The 26,364-nt window shown below is 37.6% G+C and overlaps 1 protein-coding gene across 3 annotated transcripts in view; it reads right to left on the reverse strand.

The window, feature by feature from the left end:
• GNAQ (G protein subunit alpha q) overlaps window positions 1–26,364 on the reverse strand; it is a 315,715-nt gene that overhangs the window by 87,847 nt on the left and 201,504 nt on the right. For all 3 annotated transcript variants that reach the window (NM_002072.5, XM_047423239.1, XM_047423240.1), the window contains exon 3: window positions 11,673–11,827. In NM_002072.5, the coding sequence (NP_002063.2) occupies window positions 11,673–11,827 (155 nt within the window). The remainder of the gene's footprint in view (window positions 1–11,672; window positions 11,828–26,364) is intronic.

A 26,364-nucleotide genomic window follows, 5' to 3' on the forward strand; every position in this document is an offset into this window, starting at 1 on the left:
TTCAGAAACAGGACATAATCCACTACTTTAAATGATTAAAATATATGACAGAAGCTTCAACTTCTCTAAAATAATATGCCCAAATCAATATTACATACAACACTTTCTCTCTTATGTTTTAAAAAGAGATTCCAATTGTTCCTTAATTTTGACACTTTATCAATAACAGTTTTGAGGTGACCTTCAAATTAATTTATGCTCCCATTTGACATGAATGCAAACTGATTTTTAAAAGTCTCTTTTTAAGATTAAAAAGAACCACCCCTCCCCCCACCTATGACTGGAAGAGTAACTGAAATCTAGACCAAGAATAGCACAGAAATTAAAAATTCAAGTGCTTTGTTTTCTCTTAAATGAAGGAAACAAAAAATTAAAATTTAGAGATATGAGCTGGCAGGTAAAACATATCACATTATAGCTAGGGTTAATAAATTTTATAAGCCAGGTGTGGCGGCATGTGCCTACAGTCCCAGCTACTTGGAAGGCTGTGAGGCAGAAAGATTGCTTGAACCCAGGAGTTTCAGGGTGTAACCACTGCACTCCAGCTTGGGCAACACAGTAAGACCCTGACTCTAAATACATATATTAAAGTTAGAGGCATACAACCCTCAGTAATCACACCAAAAGGCAAAAAGTACCTGTGGATAGTTAAGTAGGAACAGAAATCTCTGAAATTTCATGCAAATCCAACCAGACACAATAGGATAAATGAAATCGCATCTTGGGGCTTTCAATGTAGCATGACACGGGGTGTGTGTTGGAGGTTGGGGAGCTCTTTGACCCCTATGTAAGGGCCTCCTATAGAGAGGCTGCATTTATAACAAATTTGCAGTTCACGTCAAATATTAAGATGAAGTTATGGCACAGAAAATGATTCTGGGTAGGTCTTCACATTTTTAATTATTGAAAAGAAGGTTAGAAAAACGAGGTCGACTTCATTTAAAAAAATTAAGAAGACCTCATTGTGAGAGGAACAGTCTTTGGGGAGTTGAAAGCTAGATCATGCCATGAGACGGTGTCTGACACTATCAAAAGCACTGGAAGCTAAAGAGAAATCAGAAACACACAGTTATCGTGCAGTTGCTATATGACCACAAAAGTCCAAAGGAAAAAAGTGAAAAAAAAATTGTAAAGTGACCTGCAAAAACAAATGAAGAAGTAACAGTTCTGCAAAACTGGTATCTTGAGGGGAGAGTCAAGGAGAGGTTTTGGTAGCATAACCTACTCTAGTCCCTTCCTCATCTGGCAAATCCTGTGGCTGACAGGAGCCTGGCTGGTAATCTGGTTAGGATGGTTAGTGGCACAAGATTGCTCACTCCACAAACACTTCCATCTCCTAAAAAGCTCATTTTGCAGAGAGCAAATCAACTTTCCTTTTTCCTTTTTGATACCTGACATACGTGTTAGAGTTCAAGGATGTGCAGCATTTATTAACAGGCATTTTGTTCATAAGAAGCTTACTTTTTTTCTTTTTTTTTTGAGATGGAGTCTCGCTCTGTCGCCCAGGCTGGAGTGCAATGGCATGATCTTGGCTCACTGCAACCTCTGCCTCCTGGGTTCAAGCGATTCTCCTGCCTCAGCCTCCCGAGTAGCTGGGATTACATGCGCGCAGCACCAGGCCTGGCTAATTTTTTGTATTTTTAGTAGAGATGGGGTTTCACCTTGTTGGTCAGGCTGGTCTCGAACTCCTGACCTCGTCATCTGCCAACCTCAGCCTCCCAAAGTGCTGGGATTACAGGCATGAGCCACCGCACCCGGCCAAAAAGTTTGCTTTTAATACAAAGTGGCAGGTTCAAAACAAAGATCACTCGGTAGCAGGTGGGTTATAATCCTACCATTTATGAATGCTGTTCAAGGGAGACTATTCTGGAGGATAAAAGAGAAGGCTTCGAAATTATGCATTTCAATTTCCCTCTACCAAAGAACTAACCCAATCTAGAAAAGATTTTTAAAACTAAATTAAATATCTCCTAAAAAGATTCTATCACTGCATTTGGTAAATAGTTTCATTATCTTATGAATCTGAAAGTCTGACATAAAGAGAGCACTAGTGCCAAATAGGAAAAGGGCCAGGCAACTAAGTGTCTGCCAGACAGATGCCAGGGCTGGGCTCACAGCAATAGATTCTCAGGTGTAGTGCTCCAAAAAATAAATCAACTTTGTAATTGAAAACGAAAACAAAACAACAATAGCAATGAGAGAGAAAGAGAGAAAAGAAAGAAGGAAGTCTTTTTCAATTTGCCTATTTGGCTTTGTTAATTTATTCATCTTTTATATATGATAACTTTCCAAGCTATTGGTTAATTTTGACACAATTCTAAAACATATCAAGAAATAGCTGAAGATTACTTTTTAATTCTGGTCTGCCTGCCTTGAAACTGGATGGCGATGCTTAATTCAGTTAATTTACACATATTTATTGGGAATCTGTTATACATTAATTTCTAATGCAGTGTGTTAGATGGAGGGAGATTGGCACAGAGAACTGGCACAATATATGTTAAAATACCTTCTTTGCCTTTAGGGATTTCAGGCTACCTGTGAAGCAAAGAGAGCACCGATGAATCAATTAAGAAACAATTAAGTGCCAGATTGTGAGCTGCTAATGATGAATGCAATAGGAAGGGAGAGATGATTATGAACTGTAGTCACTGGAGAATAGTGTGCAGTAGAGGTGGGGATGGGTTACTCTGTGCAGACAGAATGGGATTTGAACAGGCAGAATAGGACAGATGACAGATGAGAAGAAATTAGGAAAGGTACAGAACTTCCTTTTTCCTCTATCACTCATTCATTCAACAACTTTTACGGAAAGTCTACAGTAAGCTAGGCACTAGGCTTAGGCTGAGCGTGAACTACAAAGAAAAAAGGACACAAATCATGTCCTCAAGGAGATTATAGTCTGGCAATGAAGAAAAACGTGTTATAAATAACCGTAATACAATGCAGATGTAATATGGGTCAAAAGAGAGCTTCCAGTGATTGCAGCCAAGAGCAATGAGCAATAAATAGGTCATACTGATTTAAGTGGGTCTCCCATGGTCATGTCAGTTATGTCACCTTAATTTGGATATTGCTTCTGTGAGATTAGAACTTTCATTTTGACAAGGATGATCAGGTCTGGAGAGCTGGTCATGCTAACATGAGTTAACGTAAACTAATTATAAATCAAAATTCAATTCATTATTTTCAACTGAAAAGACTTTAACCTGATAATGAACTCAAGAATACCAGAGTCAGCAAGGCTTCTTGGGAAGTGGGGAGTCAAAAAAGGTGCTGAATGACCTTATGGGTTACATAAAGACAGCAAGATTCTTTGGCTCTCCTGTGACTGGAAGTGGGATGGGGTTGTCTTATAATCATGTGCATGTTCTATTAGCCCTCTTACAAAAGACTGTCACTCCTATCTCTGCTTCAATTGATTGCTAAATCCTATGAAACCCTCTCATCAGCTGCAACATACTACCATACCATACCAGACACTATGAGTCAAGCTCACATGACACATAATCCTTGCACTCAGAAGCCAAATCAACTCAATGAACATTTCTGGTCATTCATGCCATTTTTATGCCAGACATTCTTTGTGTGGCATTTAGTGGTACGTCCAGGAAATATGATCTAGAACTTTCTGTTGCTCACTTCCTACCAAACGTTTCATTGTGCAAAGCAGTATCTCTAGAGGACTGCTGAAGGAATGCAGGCCATTGCTTCACTCAGTACTCTAAAAGATATCTCTGGGTTAATTCAGAGCATCAGAGTCTTAAACTAGGTTTTATCTAAATAGCATAAGCAGAATGCTACTGTGTTTTAATAGTTATTCTTCACCTCTAAGAGGGGTTTGAATTTGTGTGTGTGTGAGAATGAAAATCAGATAGTAAATATAAATATTTTAGGACTTTTGGACCATATGATCTCTGTTACAACTATCTGACTCTCCCGTTGGGTCCAAAGCAGCTATACACAATACATAAACAAACGAACATGGCTATGTTCCAACCAAACTTTATTTATAAAAATAGGCAGCAGGCCAAATTTGGCCTGCAGGTTTGCTAATCCCTGTTCTACGGTAATAGGCTTTAGCTAGGCACATCATCATCCTGAGTAAAGACTGTGGAAAGGCCTACAAAGAAGAGGCCAAACTACTCAAAGTCCAAATAAACGTCCTGATAAAATGTGAGCAAACAGCAAACTGACTTGCCCACATCCACCCTGCCCTTTAGGCAGAGTGAAAAAATGATAAACTGGGGCTAAACCCAGCCCTTTTTCCTGTTCCTTCTCTGTAATGAAGGTTAGAGTAGAGTTAAGCATACCTAAGCCTTATCTTTTTATCTTTAAGAGCTTTCTGAAAGGGGAATAATAAAGACCACATCTTAGAATCATCAGCATTCACCGAGGAAGACAAATGCAGGGCTTTTTGTTTGTTGTTTTACCAAAGATTGGAAAATGTGGCCCACTAGATAACAAAACAGGAAGAGAATTAAATATGTCACTCAAGTGAAAAGAATGACACTTTGTGTTATTATTGACACTCTGAAGAAGAGCAAACATATGCAAGATCAATGTCCTCTTCTGAGCTGGTTAAAGATAGCATTTTTAGTAATTTAATCATGTAGAGAATAATTTCTCTGTTCATTACATTTCCAGGTAAATTTTAAGGTGCCAGGTTTTCATTTGACTGCATAGGATAATGACTTCTCAGATAAAGGGAGTCAACTCCAACAGAATCAAAGGACTTCAGAATTTAGGAGGAGAATTTAAGGATTATGTATCACATATAATCTATGTCTGAGGAAAGTGACGCTTAGTCAATGCCCCCGAGGTAGTGAGTAGCAGAGGGAATTCCAGCTGGACCTTGACCTAATATTTTCACCATACAACGGTCTTATCTGCCTTCAAAAGCCTGGAGTAGGCTTAAACTTAAAAAAAACAAAACAAAACAAAACAAAACAAAAAAAACTATCAGAGGAAAGTGAGGATGGATACAATGGCCAAACCAATATACCCTGGAGTACAAGTATTTGACTCATCAGTCAGCAACTTCTTAGCAAGGTACTTCCTCTTCAAGAAGGACTGGCCCTAAGTTAGCTGGATGTGTTACCCTATCTCTGAAATGCCTTTTGTTAAATTCAACATGGCACATAATATATTGGTGCTAGTTCATCATCAGACTCAAAAAATGTAAGCATGCGTTTAGAAAGTCAAACTCCAATGTTGACTTATGCCAAAAAGCCAATCTACTCATGTTCTTTACGGGCTCCGGATCATGTGGAAATTTCAAGAAGGTGTCTGATTTACCCAGCTCCCTGGAGGGGAATTCGGTGAAGTAAGATTAGAAATTATTTGGTCTCTTAAGGCAAACACAGCTACAGTAGACTAGCCAAAGCCTGCAGATGAGGCCTTTTCTCACTATACGCCAATGTGATTGAGACTTGTGTCTTCTGGCTAATGTCAGGGAGCTTTTGGTACTGTAGGCAGTGAACTCATTTGACCTGATTTCTCAGTATATTAAAGCAGGTGGTGAAATCTAGGGGAAAAAAAGTGAACCTACAACCATCTGTTTTTTGTGCTCTTTAATCATTTTCAGAGCCTTCAGGCTTTTTATCAATAACGAAAAAGTTAATAAAGTAATCTACACAACTCCCTAGGATCTTAGAATGCTTTTTATTCTTTCATTAAATAGAATTGGAAGAATTCACCAAATTAAGGCCAATTGCAAATGTATCCACAACTGCTTATCCATTATCTGGAATTTCCTACCTCTGTGGTTCTATCATTGCTGCCTGTCCTTTGAGTCATCTGATTACTTACTATGATAGGCAAGTTGGCTAATCAAAGTAGAAGGGAAGCTCAAATCATTTTATGGTGTCCTTCTTACTGGTTCCAGTAAAAAGTGATTGTCTGGATTTTGGGGGAGAGGGGTTGAGAGATAAAGACTGTAGGTTAAAACAAAGAAATAACATTCCTGAATTATCTGTAACTTAGAACATCTTTCATGTTAGTATGGATAATTGCTGCTTAGCTAAACATGGCTAAGTTTTCATAATGATAACCAAAAACCTATTGGGTTTGTTTTCCAGTCAATTTTATATAATTTTCCTTCTTGACTTTATAAATATGAAACTGTCTGTAGACAATGTTGGTAAAGATTAATAATTTGTTCTTCATGGTAAGTGATTTATAAAACACCTAATCATAGGTATTTATCTACTGATTCATCTATCTACCTATCTATCCATCTATCTTATCTAAAAACTGTCAATCATCTATCTATCTATCTATCTATCTATCTATCTATCTATCTATCTATCTATCTATCTATCTGTCATGCATCCATCCATCCTGTGTGAGGCTGTATTTCAGTGGTTAAAAGCTTGGGCTCTGGAATAAGCAAATTTGAATTCAACTCCTCCTCCATTCACTTACTAAGTATGTGGCCTTGAACAAATTATTCAGTCTGAATCCTAGTTTCCTCTTATGTTAGACGGGGATGCTAATAACTATGTACCATTGTAGGTGACTTTGAGGATTAAATGAAATAACACATGTAAATGACCAAGCACAGAATCTAACATATATTAAATATTCAGTAAATAGCAGCTATTATTGTCTTTGATAAGGCTTTTCATATCCCAGACCTTCAACAACAGCAGGAAAAAAGACTTGAATGCCTTCGGCTCTAAAGCTTCATAATATTTAACAGCCAAAGAGAGACTGGTGCTTATACCATGGTCATTAAAATAGTAGAAATTACCCATCTATTATTTCGTGAAACAATCACTTCTATTATTTCATGAAACAATCACTTGTGAAAGTCAAACATGAGCACTGCTGTCAGGAACAGAGGGTAGAGGGGAGAGGCACTGTAGTAAATGTGATGACGGAAATAAAAGAGATATGTACACAGTGTTAAGATAGAAGACATAGTGACTTACTGTTACTGGTGTTGGGCAAGGCTTTCAGAAAGGGTGACTCTTGAGTCGGGTCTTAAAGGATGAATAGGAGTTCATCAGAGAGAAAAGAAGACAGGCATGCTTGGCCTCTGCTCCCAGTATTTTTTTAAGTCGCTTGCACTGAATCTCACAACCACTAGAGTTGTGGAGAGAACTGCTACTACACTACAACCTTTAAGTAGGTGTGTGTGGCAGGGAGATTCTCCTAATACCAGAAATGTAGATGTTAAGTATTCCCTAAATCTACTCTGAAGACCTACCACTAGAGACAGGCAGCACCAAAAGAAGTTGGTCCTAAGCTCAGAAATATTTCTGTAAGATGAATATTTCTGTAAGGTGATAATGAATAAGAAATTAGGTCCAGAATAACAATGAAGTATGTTTCAATTATAAAGATAGGAACAATTATAAAGATATGAAGATATCTTTATAAAGATATATTATATATAAAGATATAAAAATATAAAGATATGAAAAAAAGGAGGCAATATAACATACTGAAGATGCACTAGGGGAATATACACAAAAAAGTCAGAAAGGAAAAGGGCTAACAATTATCTCAAACACAGAGAAAGGAATTATTCTGAGTTATTTGTGAACATGATTTTTAGTACTGGGAAATCAGCGATGTTTAACATATGGGACCTACATCTTTGCCAGTGCTGTCGTATTTGCCAGTTCCTGGAGCATCTGCAGTGATTACACTGGAGAAACATGTGGAACACAGCAGCAAATGAGTGACTCTATGATGCCCAGGTCCTATTTCTGTTGAGAGGTTTACCTGGCTAAGGAAAATGTAAAGTGCTCACTACTAAGACGGTGAAGAATAAAGTAAGTAACACTCGGGCCTCCTGGCACAGTGGGATTAAGGCAAGCCAGGCAGGCTGCTTGGGCACTGATGTATAGGTGGTGCCAAAACATCCCTGGAGGAGACCTGAAATGTGGGTCCAGTTAACTCTGGTTTATACACACAACCCCTTACATAACTGGCAGGAATAAACTGATTCTACTCCCTTTGAAGTAAAGAGAGTATTCTACAAAAAATGAAGGAAACAAACCTCCCTCCCTCAGTTTCACTTAGCTAAGGTGACCAAAGGTGACAGGTCCCTGCCTGTCCTGGAGAGTCGCTGTTTCACCATAATTATTAATACAGCCTCCTCTTTCTCAATGTGTCCTGGTTCAGATGATTAATCAAATAGCTGAAGAGATAAAATCTTCTATGCAGAAGAATGCCAATGTAGACCAACTGATAAAAGAGGAAAATAATTATTTTACAAATCCCAATGGAATTATTAAATCTGGCAAAAATTATCAGTTGGAAATAAAACTATCAGAGGAAGAGCTGATGAAGAACTAGAGACTGCTCAATGACAAACTAACACAACAAGAGACAAGTAAAATACAACTTTATAATGGAGGGTGCCACTACCCTAACGCCATGGTAAATCTTACCTTCATCCACCATGGGTAAACAAGTGTACAACATCACTTATAATACATTCTAGTCACAACGTTTAACTTGAATCTAATAAAGACTTTAAATGTAACTTCTAGTTTAGAGTAAATCAATGAGATCCAGGAGCAAGCTAAATCATACTATGAGAAGCAATCAGGCAAATCTAGGCCAATCTCTTGAATGTGCCAGTGAAATGCAAAATGGGTCTCTACTAGATTAAAAGAACCTTATGGGACACAACAACCAGATGCAATGTGAAGTCCTGAAATCAACCACCTCTAGAGGACATTTTGGAAGAATTTGGGAAATCTGAATATGAACTGGGTATAGAATGATAAAAAGAACTTAATTAATTTTAGGTATAATAATGTATTATTATTTAGGTAGGAAAATGTCCTACTTTTTTAAAAAAGATACATATTGATGTCTAAGGATGTAAGTACATGTTGTTAGAATTCACTTTATTACTTCAGCATAAAATGTGATTAAAAAAGATTTAGGTGACGTATGTCTACATATATATACATATATATAAGAATAATTTATTTTTATTTTTTATTTTTTTTTGGAGATGGAGTCTTCCTCTGTCACCCAGGCTGGAGTGCAGGGGCATGATTGATCTCGATCTTGGCTCACCGCAACCTCTGCCTCCCGGGTTCAACCAATTCTCCTGTTTCAGCCTCCTGAGTAGCTAGGACTACAGGCGCACCCCACCACGCCTGGCTACTTTTTTGGTATTTTTAGTAGAGACAGGGTTTCACCTGTCTATTGGTCAGGCTGGTCTCGAACTCCTGACCTCAAGTGATCCACCCACCTCAGCCTCCCAAAGTGCTGGGATTACAGGCGTAAGCCACCATACCTGGCCCACATATATATAATTTAGAAAATCAATTTATCCTCATTCCCACTAGGGAAATGTAGAACTATTTAAAGAATAATCATTTGAAGGAGTTTAGATCAGCCTGTGCTAGAGGGCCCCACGTTTTGGTCTTGCTTTATCGTAAGGAGTGTGCCCGTTTCTATGGCAGACTAAGCCTGCACTGACAGAACTCTAAGATAGCAGCTTTTCCCAGGATCACAGCACTGACAGGTCTAGAGAAACTGTCTGGGAGAGCTCTTGCCCTAAGCAAGTTAGATATGGCAGCATCCAATCCTCATACTAACTAATGGGTCCATGTCTAGAAATCTGCAAATCTAAACTGAGGGTATGTCATCAGAGATATGATGAAGTCTTGTCTCAAGAACATATCCATAGTCCAATACAGGTGTCCTAGGTGCAAAGAGGACTCTCTCAGAGGGTCTATCCCAGGAGGAGGAGGCAAACCCTAAGGGGGAGACGTAACCCTAGTAAGCACATAATTACTAGATAATGGGGGCCTCTGACTACCCAGTAGCAGGACTCTCCGTAGGGAGAACAGTTACAGTTGACAGGTAAAGAGTAGACCAGGTAGGGAGGGGAGGAGATAAGACTGAAACTAAAAGTTAAAAGATAGAGGTTAGAAGAAAAATGATGCAAGGTGAAGAATTTATCAGTAAATGTAACTTTATAATGGAGGATGAGTTAGTTTTAAAGGCTAGGGCAAGACATCACAGTAGCAAAGTGAGAAGCAGAGAGGAGTTAAGAGAGAGCCAGAGAGATTCAAAACTGAGGGTGGAGGGTAAATAAGCAGACAGGAGAGACATAATGAATGGGAACAGGGAATGATGGATGAGACAGCAGCAACATGGGGAGATAGATGGAATCTGAAATGGCAAAAGAAACAGAAGGACAGAGGGGGCAGGAGTAAAAAAGACAGCTGGTCAAAGGTTGAGGGGGCAGAATTTAGAACATGCAAGAGCTGAATGCATCTTTTTCATCTCTGTACTCACAGAAACTTATACAGTGGGAGCCCAGGAGGAAGGAACAAAGGGACGAAGGACAGAGGGAGGGAGAATGGCAGAATGGAAGGCAGGCATGCAGGACAGCAGAAGAGAAAGACCAGAAATGAGAAGAACTATATGAAGGTATGGAAGAAGGATGATGAAAGGAAGAATGAAGAAAGCACACATTTCAGAGGCACACAAGGGGGTTAATGCTAGTTAAAATATTAAATACTACAAAAATGGTGCTCATGAGCACTGTGTCACATTTCAGAATGGCATAATTCAAATTTACCATAAGAATACAAGAAATAGTTTGATCAGGCAACATTTCTGTGGCTGATGTGAATCATATCTTATACAAATGCCTAGAATTAGAGTAAAAGCATGACAATTTTACTGAAAAAACAGAGTCATATAGCTCTTAGATATTCCATGCACTTTTGAGTGATGTCAAGCAGCCTATCAGGGCCTCTTATTTTCCCCAAGGGCCCACTCTCATCCAGTGGATCACTTTATCATATGAACTGGCATAAGGTTACTGATTATTTTCCACCCATTCTTCTGTCTGCCCAGATCCAAAACAAGAGGCAGATGCTGTATTAATATAACTAATGTACACAGAAACCTGGCTAAATACCACCAAAAGAAAACTCACTATTCAGGTGCCTGGTTATCTACATTGCTGACTACATTGATCACATTAATCCAATGATTGCCAAATCTTTACTTCCTTTCTGTTAGGTGAGATTTAATTCTAGAGAAGTAATAGATTTCTAGGATGTAAATCTTTCCCAGGACATGAGTCTGACTGACAGCTCACAAAATAATTCTGGAATGTATGCAAAATTAGACTCACATGAAATTTTCACGCAAAGGAAAACCTATCCATCAACATAATAGTGGCTCTCAGAAAGCAGTCAAGTTCTGGGTCTGAAAACTGGAAACCAGGAAGTCTGATGTTTTAAGAAGCCATAATCAAACATATTTTTTGTTTGCAGTTTCTAATGTGTGTAGGTGTTTTCTAGCACATGAATAAGATTGGATTTTCTATCAAAAATTATTATTACAAGATTTCAAATCACAATGGCATATGTGAGAATTGCTAGTTTGCAATTTGGGGGAGGAGACAGGTTGGTGAAATCAGATTCCTAGAGTCTTCAGTTTGTTTTTCAAACAGAAAACAGTAAAAGAAATATTCTCCCTGACTCATGATACCAGTCCTTTATAACCTAATTTAGATTTATGAGGTTGGCATAAGTTCAATATCTATATTCCCTAACTTTTAAAGTTTTAATCATATATGACATATACAGGACAGAATAAAGAAGTTATGATAATCATAAAACCTCCACATGGAAGTAAAGAGAAAAATCCATAGGGCCACCTGGAAAGATACTCACTATTTGGTAGAGTCAGATAATTGATATTCTCGTCGTCTATCATAGCATTCCTGGATTCCAGGATCATTCCATAAACTCTTTATTGCATCTACATATGGATTCTCAAAAGCAGACACCTTCTCCACATCAACTTCTCGAACTAATTGTGCATGAGCCTGTTTAAATAAAAAAAGGCAGTTTTAATACCCTATTACTTTCCAAATTTTCTTTGCTTTGCATATTACATTATATACAATTCAGGTAACACCTTCCTTCATATACTGGTCTTTACACTGGTTTACAATAAAGTCATGTTTCATATTTTTTGTTTTTCTTAGAGAGAACTCAGTCCCAAATCTTTCCCTCTAGAGTAAACCTTGATGCTACTTAGAATTGATTAGAGGAAACTAGAGGAAGGTGGCGTATTCAGCTCTCCCATCAAAACAATAAGAATGTTATGCTTACACATACCACTATTTTCACATATTATCATAATCCTAAAATGTTATTATTAAAAGAAAAGGAGGCAGGAGTAATTATCCCCTCTATGTTTATAGTTTATTATAATCAAACATATAATATAGCCAGCTTATGGGTGTTGTATGTCTAAGCAGAAACTCAATCAGAATCCTCAACTAATCAGGATTAGCTTCTCTAGTTCACTTTTAGGACAGGGCGTAAAACCATTAGAAGAACAATTAATAGTAATAATTTAATCTGGACAACAATGACAATTACCCCTCCACTCTTATGCACCCAAACTTTCAAAATATTTGTTTTGTATCTGCCTTATCTATATTACCAGATTGAGTACGCCCTATTCAATTTTTTAACAATGTAAAATAACTTGGCTATATTCATTTAGCAGGAAAGAGATAAAGAGATTAAAATGTTTTAAAAATAAGATTGCAATGAAAATATTTTATGGTCAACCCTCAAATTAGCCGGAATACACGACTGCCTAACAATCCAAATCAAACTAAGGTTTATGGAATGCAATATATATATATACACACACATATATATATACACACACAAAGTATATATACATAAATATGCAACTAAGCACAAATAACTAATTGTGTTGGACACTGGAGGCAGATGGCTGATAATTACTGAAACAATCCTGATTTTGTATAGAAATACAAACTTCTAAACAAGGTTAGGGAATGGCTATCATGATGACATCATGGCCAAACTATTCATTTCACAAGAGTATTAAGCAGATAGAATTTTAATAAATGTGATCCATGTTAGGCCTTTACCTTCCTTCCTTTCTCTTGTGTGAGAAGGGCCCCATGCCAATAGACTAATCTTGACTTAAGGTTTTAGGAAGCTCAACACACTAAGACTGAAGAAATCACCTTTCTTATTTGTTCTGTTCTGACTGTGACAATCGGATCTAGTAACTGAGAAGCCCTAGCTCTTGCTGGTATTCTGATTTTGGAAAATGAATCCCTGTAGCTGCTTTCTGTACTGAGTCCCTGTGTAGGCAATCTTCCGTGTTCTCCCACCCACAATCTTACCAGCCTGGAGTCCTGTTCCTGAATCCCACGCCAGGTGGGGCCCACCTCAATCATCGTTCCCCTCTGAGACTCGCCCTTTGAAAACAGAGCATCACTGGCTCCTCAATGAATCCCCACTGCTGTGCTCTGCCTCTTAGGCAGTGTAATATTTGTTGTCTTTCTCTCTAATCATGGTTTAAGTTCCAAGTTCCAAGATAGGCTCAACACCGCATAATCAGGGCCTAGCAAGGTGCCTGGCAAGTGGTAGATGTTCAATAAATATTTGTTGGTTGGTTGGAAGGAACAAAGGAAAGAAGGAAGGAAGGGAAGGAGGGAGGGAGGGAGGGAGGAACTGAACTACACTAGAAATTAGGCATTCTAACTTCTAATTCTGGCTTTACCCATAACACTGGTCATAACCTTTAGGAGAAACTACTTTTCCTCTTTATAACTTAATTTTCTGTGTTCATAAGAAAAGGCAATTAAACCAAATCACCAAAGAGCTCATCTAGCCATAAGCTGTATGATTGTAAATATATAATGAATACATCTACAACGCACAGAGCACCAAAATGTTAAGACACTGTCCCTCTGGGAGCACCCAGTACCACTGAGCAAAACAAGAACTTACTATGTCACACAATAACTGAGAATATAGAACAGAATGCAGTTACATACGCACATGAGCGATGCTGCATGGGGATGGTGTTAAGTGCAACTGTGTACGGACCAAGGAGGTCAAACGAGGTGTCAGAGAGAAGGTGGGATTTAGCTGGCGGGTGAAGATGAAGATGAATGATCCCTCCAAGGAAAAGCAGCATGGACAAAATAAACATGGCACTTTTTAAAAACTGTGACTGCTGTTCACAGTTAAAAGAAGCTACTTTCTTTTGACTGCAAAAAACAAAAAAAACAAAAACAAAAACAAAACAAAAAAAAACTGTCTTGTGAGAAAGTTTCATGTTGACTCTGAATTCAAATTAACCTCTACAGTGTAAGTTATATTTGTCTCTGCTATAAACCCGTTACTCAGAAGTCAACCTCCATCAAAACTGAGAGAGAATATTGCCCTCAAAAACAGAGCAATCACCATGTTGCCTTCACCTAGGTTGGAATTTCTAAGTCACTTTTACTGCCTCCTAAGCTTTGTTGTTTCATTCCATCCTTGCTGTTTTGGAAAATGACATTCAAATATAATCAACCATAATTTGCATTTATGTAAGAGCTTTCATCTCAGATTCTCTAAGTTATTTAAAAGTATGACAGCATTTTACAAAATATATACAGATTTTTAAAATTGTGCATATAAACGTTCCCAATGGAAATGCAATACTCTCAATTTTTTGTAAAAAAAAAAAAAAAAAGTTCTGTATGTGGAAACAATATTTTCTAGTATGTTAGAGTAGGAAGATAAATTAGATACTTTTTTTCTATTTGTCCAAATGTCGAATGTGAAATAGTAGTAAAAATTATAAGTAGTTAAGCTAAATTAAACAATTATTAATGAAAAAGACAATGATGAAAAGGAAAAAACTCACCTCAAATATTACAAGTAACAAGTCAATTACAACAGACTATCTTGTTTATTTTGAACATTGTGCACAGAAAAGCAAGGGAGGGCCAGCCATGCTGGCTCATGCCTGTAATCCTAGCACTTTGGGAGGCAGAGGCAGAAGGATCACTTGAGGCCAGGAGTTCAAGACCAGCCTGGGCAACATGGCAAGACCCCATCTCTATAAAAAACAGAAAAATTAGCTGAGCGTGGTGGTATGTGCCTGTAGTCCCAGCTACTTGGGAAGCTAAGGCAGCAGGATCACTTGAGCCCAGGAGTTCAAGGTTACAGTGAGCTATGATAGCACCACGGCATTCCAGCCTAGGTAACAGAGAGAAATACCATCTCTCCAAAAAAAAAAAAAAAAAAAAAAAAAAACACCCAAAAATACCTAGTATGATTTAATGAATCACATAAACAAAATGTAAAATATAATTCTATTTCATTTTAAGTTACAGTTAAAATATACTGGGTGGAAATAATGATGAATGCTAGCTTTCAGAATTCTTAGCAAGCTGGTGGCAAGGCTTAGAGGGAACATTGTGAGAACTAAGTAGCTACTCTCAGGAACTCTGGCAGAATTCTAGGGAAAGACCACATGGAAACCGCAAGATGTGCCAATGTGGTAATGTCTTGTTTTCAGATTCAGTCGTCATAAAATTCAGGTAAATCTTCGATGTGTTGATGTTTCCATGTTTGCTTCTGCAAAGGGAAGGAGGAACTGAGGTCCTACCAAAGTGGGTCTTACCCAGCCCACAGCAGGCCAAGCCTTTAGGTGAAATGAAAAAGACCTCATAGTCACTTTGGAAGGATTTTCAAAATCTCATTAACAGCTGAAGGCGGCTTTAGACTGGAATGTCACACCTACCCAGAAGTAGAAAGCCAAATGGTAACTTCCACATTTGTGGAAGCTCTTAGACACAAATATCCAGCTTATTAGGCCTGCTCTGTCTGAAGGGATGCCCAACACACACAGAAGACCTCAAAATCAGAAAAAGTGCAAGCCAGCATCAGACTTCATCTCAATTCTGAACTGCAGCACACATCTTCCTACTTTTTTTCTAAGTGCTTATTTCCTTTTGGCACTTGACTCTAAAGAAAAAAATCACCAACTCCTAAATGGACTGTGGAAAAAAAAAAAAAACCCTCAGCCTTTTTGGTTTTGTTTTCTTCTGCTCAAAGGAAGTACAGAGTGAAATGATGGATGCTGAGACAAGACTGCTGGTGTTGTAATTCCACTTCCACCCAGTACTAGCTGACTGTCATCTTGTACAAGCTATTTAACATCCTCAACCTCTGCTTCCTAATTACCTCCCTCTCATAATCCATTAAATGGAGGTAATCATAGCACTTATTTTAGAGGGATAAATTACAGAATGCATATAAAATACTCGAAGAAGAGCCAGACACTTAAGGCTACTAGTTATTTAAAATGCAAAAAAAAAAAAAAAAAAAGGAAAAATAGTACAAAAAATATAAACCATGGTACAAATACCTACTAGATTCTTGTGACATTGGGAAAGTCACTGAAGCCTAAATTTGCTCAAATGTGAAATTACAGTCTGGAGGCCCTGACTGGATAATAGATCTCTGAGTTCTCAAATTTGCAAATACTGCTTAGCATAAAATCTCCTGCAGAAAACTTGGACGTGAACTGTATTTATCAGACTGTTTCACGTTTTCTGACTTCATTAGAACCTGAACCCTGACCTTTCAGGTGCATTATATGCAGAGTGACAGTTGTTGTTTTATCTTTTTCTGAGCATTACTGCATAAATGACAAAGAACAGCAAAGTCATACTGAACTGCTGCTGGCTGGGTTCTCATTGTGAGTGATTCACTCCCATAAAACAGCCTCTCCACACTTATGATTCAACATGTGGCTCAGCAAAATTAGAAATTACTACATGACACAGCCTTTTGAAGCCCCTCATGAAAACGAAAGATCTTCTGTGTGGAGTCTTTAAGTGGTAAGGATCTACTGATTCTCCTTTACTAAGCTTCCATGTCCTTCTTAAACTTGGCATTAGATGGAGACTACTGAATCTCAAATTAGTAATTCTGGGAACCACAGTAGCAAAGAGGAAGAACTTGAACAGCCTGAGACCAAATCAGGTATCAATAATAACTCTGTCATGTACCAGCCCTGTGTCTTTAGACAAGTCACTCAACCTTCCTGAACCTCAGTTTCTTCATCTATAAGATGGAACAATTTGTTGTAGGGCTGTTAGGAAAAGTAAAAGAGATGTTTCTAAAATGCCTAGTACAAAATATTATAATTACTATGAAATCTTGTGGTATCTCAAAAGTACCATTAATAATTATTTCAACAAATATTTATCGCTCATGTGTTAGACAATACACAAGACAATGATGAAAAGGAAAAATAGAGAATGTATGTTAAATACAATGTTCTAGATTACAATGTTAGAGAAGAAAGTTTATTAAACTGCCACATATCCTTTCATTAAGACTTCACAAACTGATTTATTAACTCATTATTAAGTTTGTTCTTCTATCATTAGATTTTTATTTTTAATCTCCATTATGGTCACCAAGATAATCAATGACTATAGTTATACTGTCTTTCCCAAAAAACATTTGCTGGAACTACAATTCTCCTCTTGGTTTTGCTGGCCTATAGGCTTTATTTGCTCATTCTAACATAGAATGGGGATTCCTTCTTGGGTAAAGGAAATACCCCTCCTTTATTGTTTAAAATATATTTTTTTTTCTTTTCAGAGAACTCAATCTCTTTCTTGGCCCTACCACTACCATTTTCCATGTAAATATTCTTCTATTTGGTTCTTTGCTTAACATTTTCCTTTTTCATGTTTGTCTGTAATGTCATAATTATCAGTATCAATGACATTGTAGGTCAGATGCTTGATGCAGCATGGCAAAACCTACATCAAACACTTCCAGAGTATGTTGATTGATATAATTACATAATTCCATTACAAAGAACACTGCCTTCAGGTCTATAAAATCTTGGGGTACAATTTAAAATTTTGCACTCTCTGAAGTTCTACTATTATCTTCATAATTATGATGTTGTACTATCCTAGTATGGGTGTGTGTGTGTGTGTGTGTGTGTGTGTGTGTGTATGTATGTATGCATTATTAATACCACCAAAAAAACTAGTTTATCTTCAGAGAGTTTATACAAAGTCACAGTTGATTTAAAAAAATTGAAAAGAGAGATTAAAGATATGCATATTCATTAAAATTCAAAACAATTAGGGTATGGTCTGTATGACTACTTTCAAAGAATATCTGAGGAACATTAATTAATGGAAAATTAAGTTAATGGAAAACTAAGTTAATTGGAATGTTAATAGGTATTTGACAAATGGATTCTGAAGTCCAAGTAAGAGAATGGGGAGAATAATGGTTATAAATAGTCAAACAGAGGTCTGTGCTGCAGAACACAGAAGTTATAAAAAGGCAATGGCCCTTACCTAGAAAGGTGCTATAAATCCATGAGCCTAGCATTGGGGATATTATTGAATTTTCCAAACTTGTTTGACCATGGAAGCTTTTTTTGCCTCCAGATCTGTTGACGAGACTGTTGGTGAATTAAATCATGTTTTGAAAACACTGACTAGAGACTGAGACCCCTAACAACCAACTGTAGGTTGATTTTATACCAACAAAACAACTCATTGACTGATTTCTCCCCACCCTGGCATAATAGGTAAATGCCTGCTTTATAGATTCATATCATCTTCATTTCTGAGATCACATAATGTTATGTGGTTCATTTCCTGATATTATACCTCAGAAAAAGCCTAATCATTTTAGTCCTTTGTAATGTCTGTGCTCCTACAATCTCATTAACCAGAGGAGTATGTTGCTGCTGGTTTGGAATTTTATTTTATTTGACAACAGGAAAAACAGATAAAGAAGATTTCCCTGTTCAGTTGGTAGAATTCAGACAGGCGAAAAAATAAAAAGAACAAGCTTTTTGATTAAAAAAAAAAAAAAAAGGCCCAAATGCTCCCAAGAATTTCAGAGTCTTACATAGGGAATATCATCTTTCTGGAACATCCCATGTGAAATCTGACCACTGAAGCTTCAGACATTCAAGAAATTGTGTTAGGAAAAACTGAAAGTAAAAGGCTCACTTTCCTAGAATCTTGGGGAAGGAATAGAGCTTTTAGAATACCTTGCTTAAATGCCCCTTTAACAGAGCCAGAAACTGTTCCATTAATAAAAATAAAGAAACAAAAACAATACCTCTTTATCCTATGAAAAACGGTAATGAAGCATTTAGAAGTTGTTTTTTTTTTTTTCTTTGAGAAGGAGTCTTGGTCTGTCACCCAGGCTGGCAGGCTGGAGTGCAGTGGCAAATCTCGGCTCACTGCAAGCTCCGCCTCCCGGGTTCATGCCATTCTCCTGCCTCAGCCTCCTGAGTAGCTGGGACTACAGGCGTCTGCCACAACGCCCGGCTAATTTTTTGTATTTTTAGTAGAGATGGGGTTTCACCGTGTTAGCCAGGATGGTCTCAATCTCCTGACCTCATGATCTGCCCATCTCAGCCTCCCAAAGTGCTGGGATTACAGGCGTGAGCCACCACGCCTGGCCTAGAATTTAAGTAGGAAGAAGGGAAGGAAAATAACTCACATCCTACAAGGCCTGGTTTTTTTGTAGTAAGTTATATAATTTGTCACTTTAAATAAAGACCCAAATTTTGAAAATATTATAGATAAGAAGTGTAAAAAGTTACCTGGACCACTGCTGAGAAACTGTTAACTTTCCACTGAGAGTATAATAATATAGTTATAGTCTACTAACACTTTTGAGTATTAAAAAGGCTACCAAAACAGTTAATGTTTGTATTAACCTGTTCTCACACTGCTATAAAGAACTACCTGAGACTGGATAATTTATGAAGAAAAGAGGTTAACTGACTCACGGTTCTGCAGGCTGTATAGGAAGCATGAATGGGAGGCCTCAGGAAACTTACAATCATGGTGGAAGGTGAAGGGGAAGCAAGCACGTCTTACCGTGGTAGAGCAGGAGAGACAGAGAAGCGGGAGGTGCCACACACTTTTAAACGATCAGATCTCATGAGAACTCACTCACTATCATGAGAACAGCAAAGGGGAAATCTGTCCCCACGATTCAATCACCTCCCATGAGGCCCTTCCCCCAACAAGTGGGGATTACAATTTAAGATGAGGTTTGGGTGGGGACACAGAGCCAAACCATATCAATGTTGTATGTCTTTAAAGTATTTATTGACCAGCAAATCTATTTTATTACATTGATATTATTCAAGGAAGTGTGCACATTAAAAAATTTTTCAAAATATAAAATCTTCCTAAAATATAAACTTTTGATAAATCAATGTAGATTTTAAAGTAAAAAATGAGCAGAAATACTTTTCTTGGTACCTTCATGTACTTTAGTCATGTTCTTAGCCATATCTCTTTCTAACATCATGTCCCTAACATCCTTCAGAGAACTATATTTTTTCAATATTGACATATTATGTATTTAACTATTTCATAGAATTGTTTGTAACATTCTTAAAAATTGCCTTAACTATTTTAGGTCAATAAATTTGAAACTGTTAACATTTTCAACCATGCTCTTCTTGGTAGACCTTAATAGTTTTAATTCAGAAACGGCCTCTCTTGTTGGTTCAGATACTTGGTAAGCTTAGAACAAGGTCTGCTGAATGGTAAGTAATCTCACTCTATTATGTTTTTCAAATGGAAAGACATAAATATCTCAGTTCAAATATTTTCATAGAACTATCTTTCGGTATTAGTTCAGAATAGTATTATTTCACAAATATGTTTAGGAGATGAAACTCATAAATAGATTATTGCAGCTTGTTTGGATACAACTGTGATTTATGTGTGAGCCATAACTATTCTAAGAATATTTCTGGTCCACTAGTTTATTAATTTAATACATACAGTATTTTACCATGACACTATGCTCCATGAAAAATTATACTCGTATCATTACCACAAAATACATTACTTTGAACAATGACTTTTAAAATTTTTTAAAGAAGCAAAAGCATTTACTGTAGCAATCAAAACCATGTTGGATATTTCACTTTATCAGCATGAACTTCTAAAAGCTTCATCTCGATTCCATGAATTAATGAAGAAAAAACAAACCATCAATTACCTGCAAAGTTTTTCTTCTGCTAAGAGAATTAACAGATTAATTGCTATTGCTTCATTTTTTTGTACATGCATAAGAAAACCTGGAATAAAAATGAGCTAAATTAACTCGGAAAGAAAGTCATTTGATCTAAACAAAAAGTCATGCTTCACAGAGTGATATAAAAATGCATTCTCTGCTGCTGCACATGCTAAAATGTCATCTTTGGGCACAGTCTTCTGAAAATAACAGCGAACTCTTGAAGCAGAAGATTTGTGTCTTTCGTATTTTGTGTGGTTGATTATATTCATGGCTACAATGGTGAATGTTAAGTACTGATAAATAATTTTATATGAATTACACATTATCAACTTTCTTTAGAAACAAAAATACAGTACTTAATTTTTTGTTAAACATGCATTTTCAAGTTTCTAAAAAAACTTATTATGGCCAAAAAGATCTGCTGCAAAATAAAAGCATTATCAAACAATACAACAGATTTATACCAAACAATAAATGATAAAGCAAAATCTTTCATACCTCCACAGTAAGACTGCTTCAGCCTTCATTTTCCACACACATTTCACATACACCTAGCAACTGCCCACTGACCCTACTCACAGAAGTGTGGTGTCTTCGTGGACCTGGCAGCCTACACGCCAGACCATAGCATGACTAGCTGATTCAAGCAGACGGTAAAGGCAGCAGCACCACATGCTTCTCCACCATCTTTCAGACTGGAAGAGTTTGGCTGCCCCTAGTCACTTTTGTCCCAGCTTACTCCATATTAGCAGGAATGCCCACACGCTGTCTTTGAAAGAGAGATGCAGTTAACAATGCATCTGGGAAGGGATATCAGACTCAACCAAGTGTAAAGTGAGAAGTCTGTTTAACTGCAAAGGCAGAATCTAGAAATACAAAGTGAATGTCTGTTAAAAACATCCTGGATTATTTTAATGCAGCTATTAATAAGAATGCTTCATTAAAAAAATAAAAAAACTGGAATAAATGCTAAACAGGCGGGAGGCTGGGACAACAGGTGCAAACACAAGTATCTCAGGCAAACTAGGACTTATGATCAACCTATGCATGGGGAAGACTTGGGTTAGATATAAGAGGCCTAAATGTGAGATAACAGTCTGCACATCTACCTGATACAGCAAAATTTTATAAAGGGGTCAATATCTAAAATTAAGAGCTTTAGCATTAAAAACAACAAAAACAAAAAACACACCCCAAAAACAGATGTCCTAATTCTCTTGACAAATTAGAAGTCCCAGCAACACTGCATCCATATTCCAAGAGGACAACAGGCTGTAGCTAAGAAGGCTGCCAATAGCTTCCCACTATTGTCAAGAATAATGAGAGAGTACATATATTTTTATGAAAGTGAAAAATATTCTGTGTTCTATAATGCAAAAACAAACAATGCTATGGCAAAGAATAGAACCTGGCCAGCTTCTCATTACCTGCCTGACCCTGAAATAATCTGAGTTTGCACCCTACCCCCAGGCCCAACTCCCCATAACGCTGGTGTCCTTGTTGTGTGCTTTGTGTGATAAGGAAGCTTGTGAACTCTCCACAGAACTGAGAATTATGTTGAATCTGACTCCTACCAGTGGGCATTTTCTCAGCTTCCTGGCTAGAATCCATTAAAAAACGTGCACCTGGGATCTTCTGATGTTCTTTCCCCATTATCCCTTTAATTTATGCCCTAGATGCTTGTGTTATGAGTTCCAACACACACAAGTCTAAACAAGGGAACTGAGGCACGCCTTAAGTGCCAAATGGTACCACATGGTTTGGGTTGTCAGGGGTGGTCATATGCACAGTGTTATAAGGGCCTACGGCTTTGGAGTCAAACACATTGAATCAAACCATGTTCCCATTTACTTGCTTTGGGATCTCTCCAAGCCTCAATTTCCTTATCCCTCCAATGAGGTAATGATAACTATGTCACAGCACCGTTATAAAGTTTAAATGTAATAATATATACAAAACAGTATAGTAATAGGCACACATTAACGGGTCAGTAAACAGAAACAATCCTTGGTTTGTACTTCAGATATGACTCAGGAGGAATGATAGTGAAATGTCCTTACACAACCCTTTTTTTGTATTCAGTAAAACAACGCTTTTGGGTGTAAGATCTTTGGGGATCTGTTACAAAAACAATCATTTCTACGGTTCTTACCAACATGCTGTAGCACTATCAGTTTTATATCTTAAGAAAATGCCATTTTAAATTCTCAAGATATGGGTTACATGTAATAATTATAGTGATTATTTTATAGCCATAACTGTTTTGCAACTGGAAGCATGTTGACTTAAAGTGACATAGAAAAGGTTTTTTTTTCTCTCTAGAAAAGGCCGAATTTCATTATATTGCATTAATCTCAATGTTGAGTTTTTAAAACAGGCAAAGACCACAACCTGAATAAAACCTTGTCTAAGATATGGAAATACATGTGCGTGAAGACTTTACCAGACAGCATATCCACGCATGCTCTTCTGCTTGAATTCTGATGAGCTTCCCATGAAAAGCTAAAGTGATTGGTGATGTAGCAATGGTCATGAAATCAAACCAAATCCATGTTTAAATAACTAAAAAAAAAAAAAAAAAACTGAGCAACTTGCATTGCTTTTTCAAGGAGATAAAAATGCATATTGCCTCTTTTATGTGTTCTTAGCTATATATTTATTTTTGAAACGCTTTCATGTAATTTCTAAATTTAGCCCCTACTTCCTTTTTACTGTGTCATCTGAGCTACAGCCAGTGTCTGATAACATTCTGATCTTCACTCGGAGGAACCTATACAGAAACTGCCTTTCAGAGCAAAGATAACCTCTTACTAACCTCTTCTGTGTTTGCAAACAAGGAGTGTACTGGATAGTATATAATGACCGCTTCATTCTTCTCTCTCATTTCTAGGGGCACCACTTACATACATTTTAAATATTTAAAAATTCCCTTTACTTGTTGGTAGAAATATCAATCTTTCTAGAGCATCAACATTTTTTATTAAACCAATCTCTTGTTAAAAAATATATGAGTTAGAGGAAGAAATTCATCTCTTTTAACCTAAGGCAGGAGAAAGAAAACAAACCCCGTCTCTACTAAAAATACAAAAAATTAGCCGGGCATGGTGGCAGGCACCTGTAGTCCCAGCTACTTGGGAGGCTGAGGCAGGAGAATGGCGTGAACCCGGGAGGCAGAGCTTGCAGTGAGCCGAGATCGTGCCACTGCACTCCAGCCTGGGCGACAGAGTGAGACTCCTCCTCAAAAAAAAAAAAAAAAAAAAAAAAAAAAAAAAAAGAAGGGGCAGTGAAAACAGAGCTGGTATGGTGGTATGAGGTGACAAACCACTGCAGTTATAGACAGAAACTTCTGAATCCTTTACCTGGGTTAATTATCATTTCATGAAAATGTTCTTCTCTTTTATTTTCTATTCATTAATAGCAGATTTAAGATAGATGAATTATATAGCAATTAAAATTTTTTTTTGTAAAAATGGACAATTTCAAACAAATGTATTCAAAATTTTAATCAGAAACAATCTGAGTGTGTTGCCAGTAGACACTGCACAGGAGGTGCTAACCTATAGATCTGGTGAAGAATGGATGTGTATGTAGTAGGGCCTCAGACTTTCCAGAATCCTACCCATCCTCCTGTAATTAAGCCTTTCCTAATTACTTTTTTCTTTTGGGCCATTCACAGTCTTCACAGCACAATTGTTGGGCACCAAGCTGTATCGTGCCTGTCACTGCTATTTAACTGATCATGTTTTGTACATAAAGAATTTCCAACAATGCAGTAAATTACTTTAGGTCAGAGACTAATATTTCTTGCAGTCTAGCACAATTTTCATGTTAGATCAATAAATATTTCTACAATGGGGCTGAGCTGTCTTGCCTTCTTATATATTTGTCCTGAAATGTGATCTAACAAGACTGAGGAAAAGATGATACAATGACCAGTACAGGACAGAAAAAGTAGTTGGAAGGCCTGGGGGAGCCTCTGTTATGGTCTAGGACCAGTCTCTTAACCTTTATATGTTAAGGGTTGACTTCTATAACTGGAATATTGGATTAGATAATGGCTGAGACACCTTGCCCTTATGATTACACATTCAAACATGGCTAAAGTGAAATTAAAATATTTAACCAGTGGTATGGCATGGGCACCAGCCAAACAGAACAGAGCAAGGCCCTGGACTTTCCTCGTCATGCCTCACATCAGCCTTTTAGGTGCTGGATCACAAAAAGGCCAGGATGTCCTGGGGTGGGACAAGAGCTGCTGGGGCCATTCATGGAACTTGGGGAAGCAGCTATAATATTATACTTTTTCAGACATTTTAACACAGGTATGGTGTTATCAATAGTAGGGGCTGAATACTAACCCAACATATAAGAAACACCTTAGAGTCCTAAGTATTACTTTATTTGAAGGTTTTTATTCTTACATGAAAGCTACGAATGCTTACAGATCTGAAAATAAAAACAAATTCCCACCAATGCTATCAATAATCTTTTTTATTGTTCTTCTTCACATCCTTATAATTCAACATTTTTTGAGGCAGCCAAGTAATAATTCCTGGCTTCTCCATAGTAGTGTTAAGCTCATCTTGCAATGAGGAGCCCAAAACCATACTATGTTCCCTGCTTTCTTCAATAAATAAAGTGGAAAAGCCAAGGACACATCTGACTACTATCCTGCTTTTACAGATGAGAAAAGTGTTATTTAGTGTTCACAATAAAATTCCCTGTGACATGAAGCAGCAATGACTGCGGCTTGAAGCTCCTCTCGACACAGCTGCAGCTTTGTGGCCCACCCGCAGCCTTGAGAGCCCAAGAGAATGAATCAGAGAACAGAGGGGAGGGCTGATGTAGCTCTTGGACTCAAAGTGGTCCACCCACAAGCAGCTTCTGCATCGCCTTAGAGCTTATAAGAAATGCAGACCTCTAGGCCTCTCCACAGATCCACTGTATAGGGATCTCCAGGTTAACAATATCCCCAGGTGATCTGTGTGCACATTAAAGTTTGGAAAGTGCTGATCAGTGCTTCTCAAACTGGGCTGAACATCAGCATCACCTGGGGAGCTTAAAAAAAAGACTCTGATGTCTAGATCCCACCATTGAACATTGTGATTTAATTGGTCTGAGACATGACCAATTTTTTTTTTCTTTTTTTGAGACAGGGTCTTACTCTTTTGCCAGGCTGAAGTGAGTACAGGGCACGATCATAGCTCACTACAGCCTTGATCTCCAGGGTTCAGGTGATGTTCCCATCTTAGCCTTTCAAGTAGCTGGGACTACAAGCATGCGCCACCATGGCTGACTAATTTCTGAATTTTTTTGTTGAGACAAGATCTCCCTAGATTCCCAGGCTGGTCGTGAATTCCCATGCTCAAGCCATCCTTCTATCTTGGTCTCTCAAAGTGCTGGGATTACAGGTGTGAGCCACTGTGGTTGGCCTGGCCAAGGTTTTCTAATGCCCCCCCAAGTGGTCTACACTGGTAGAGACCTTGGT

Source organism: Homo sapiens, chromosome 9, assembly GCF_000001405.40.
Source record: "Homo sapiens chromosome 9, GRCh38.p14 Primary Assembly".
Taxonomy (NCBI): domain Eukaryota; kingdom Metazoa; phylum Chordata; class Mammalia; order Primates; family Hominidae; genus Homo; species Homo sapiens.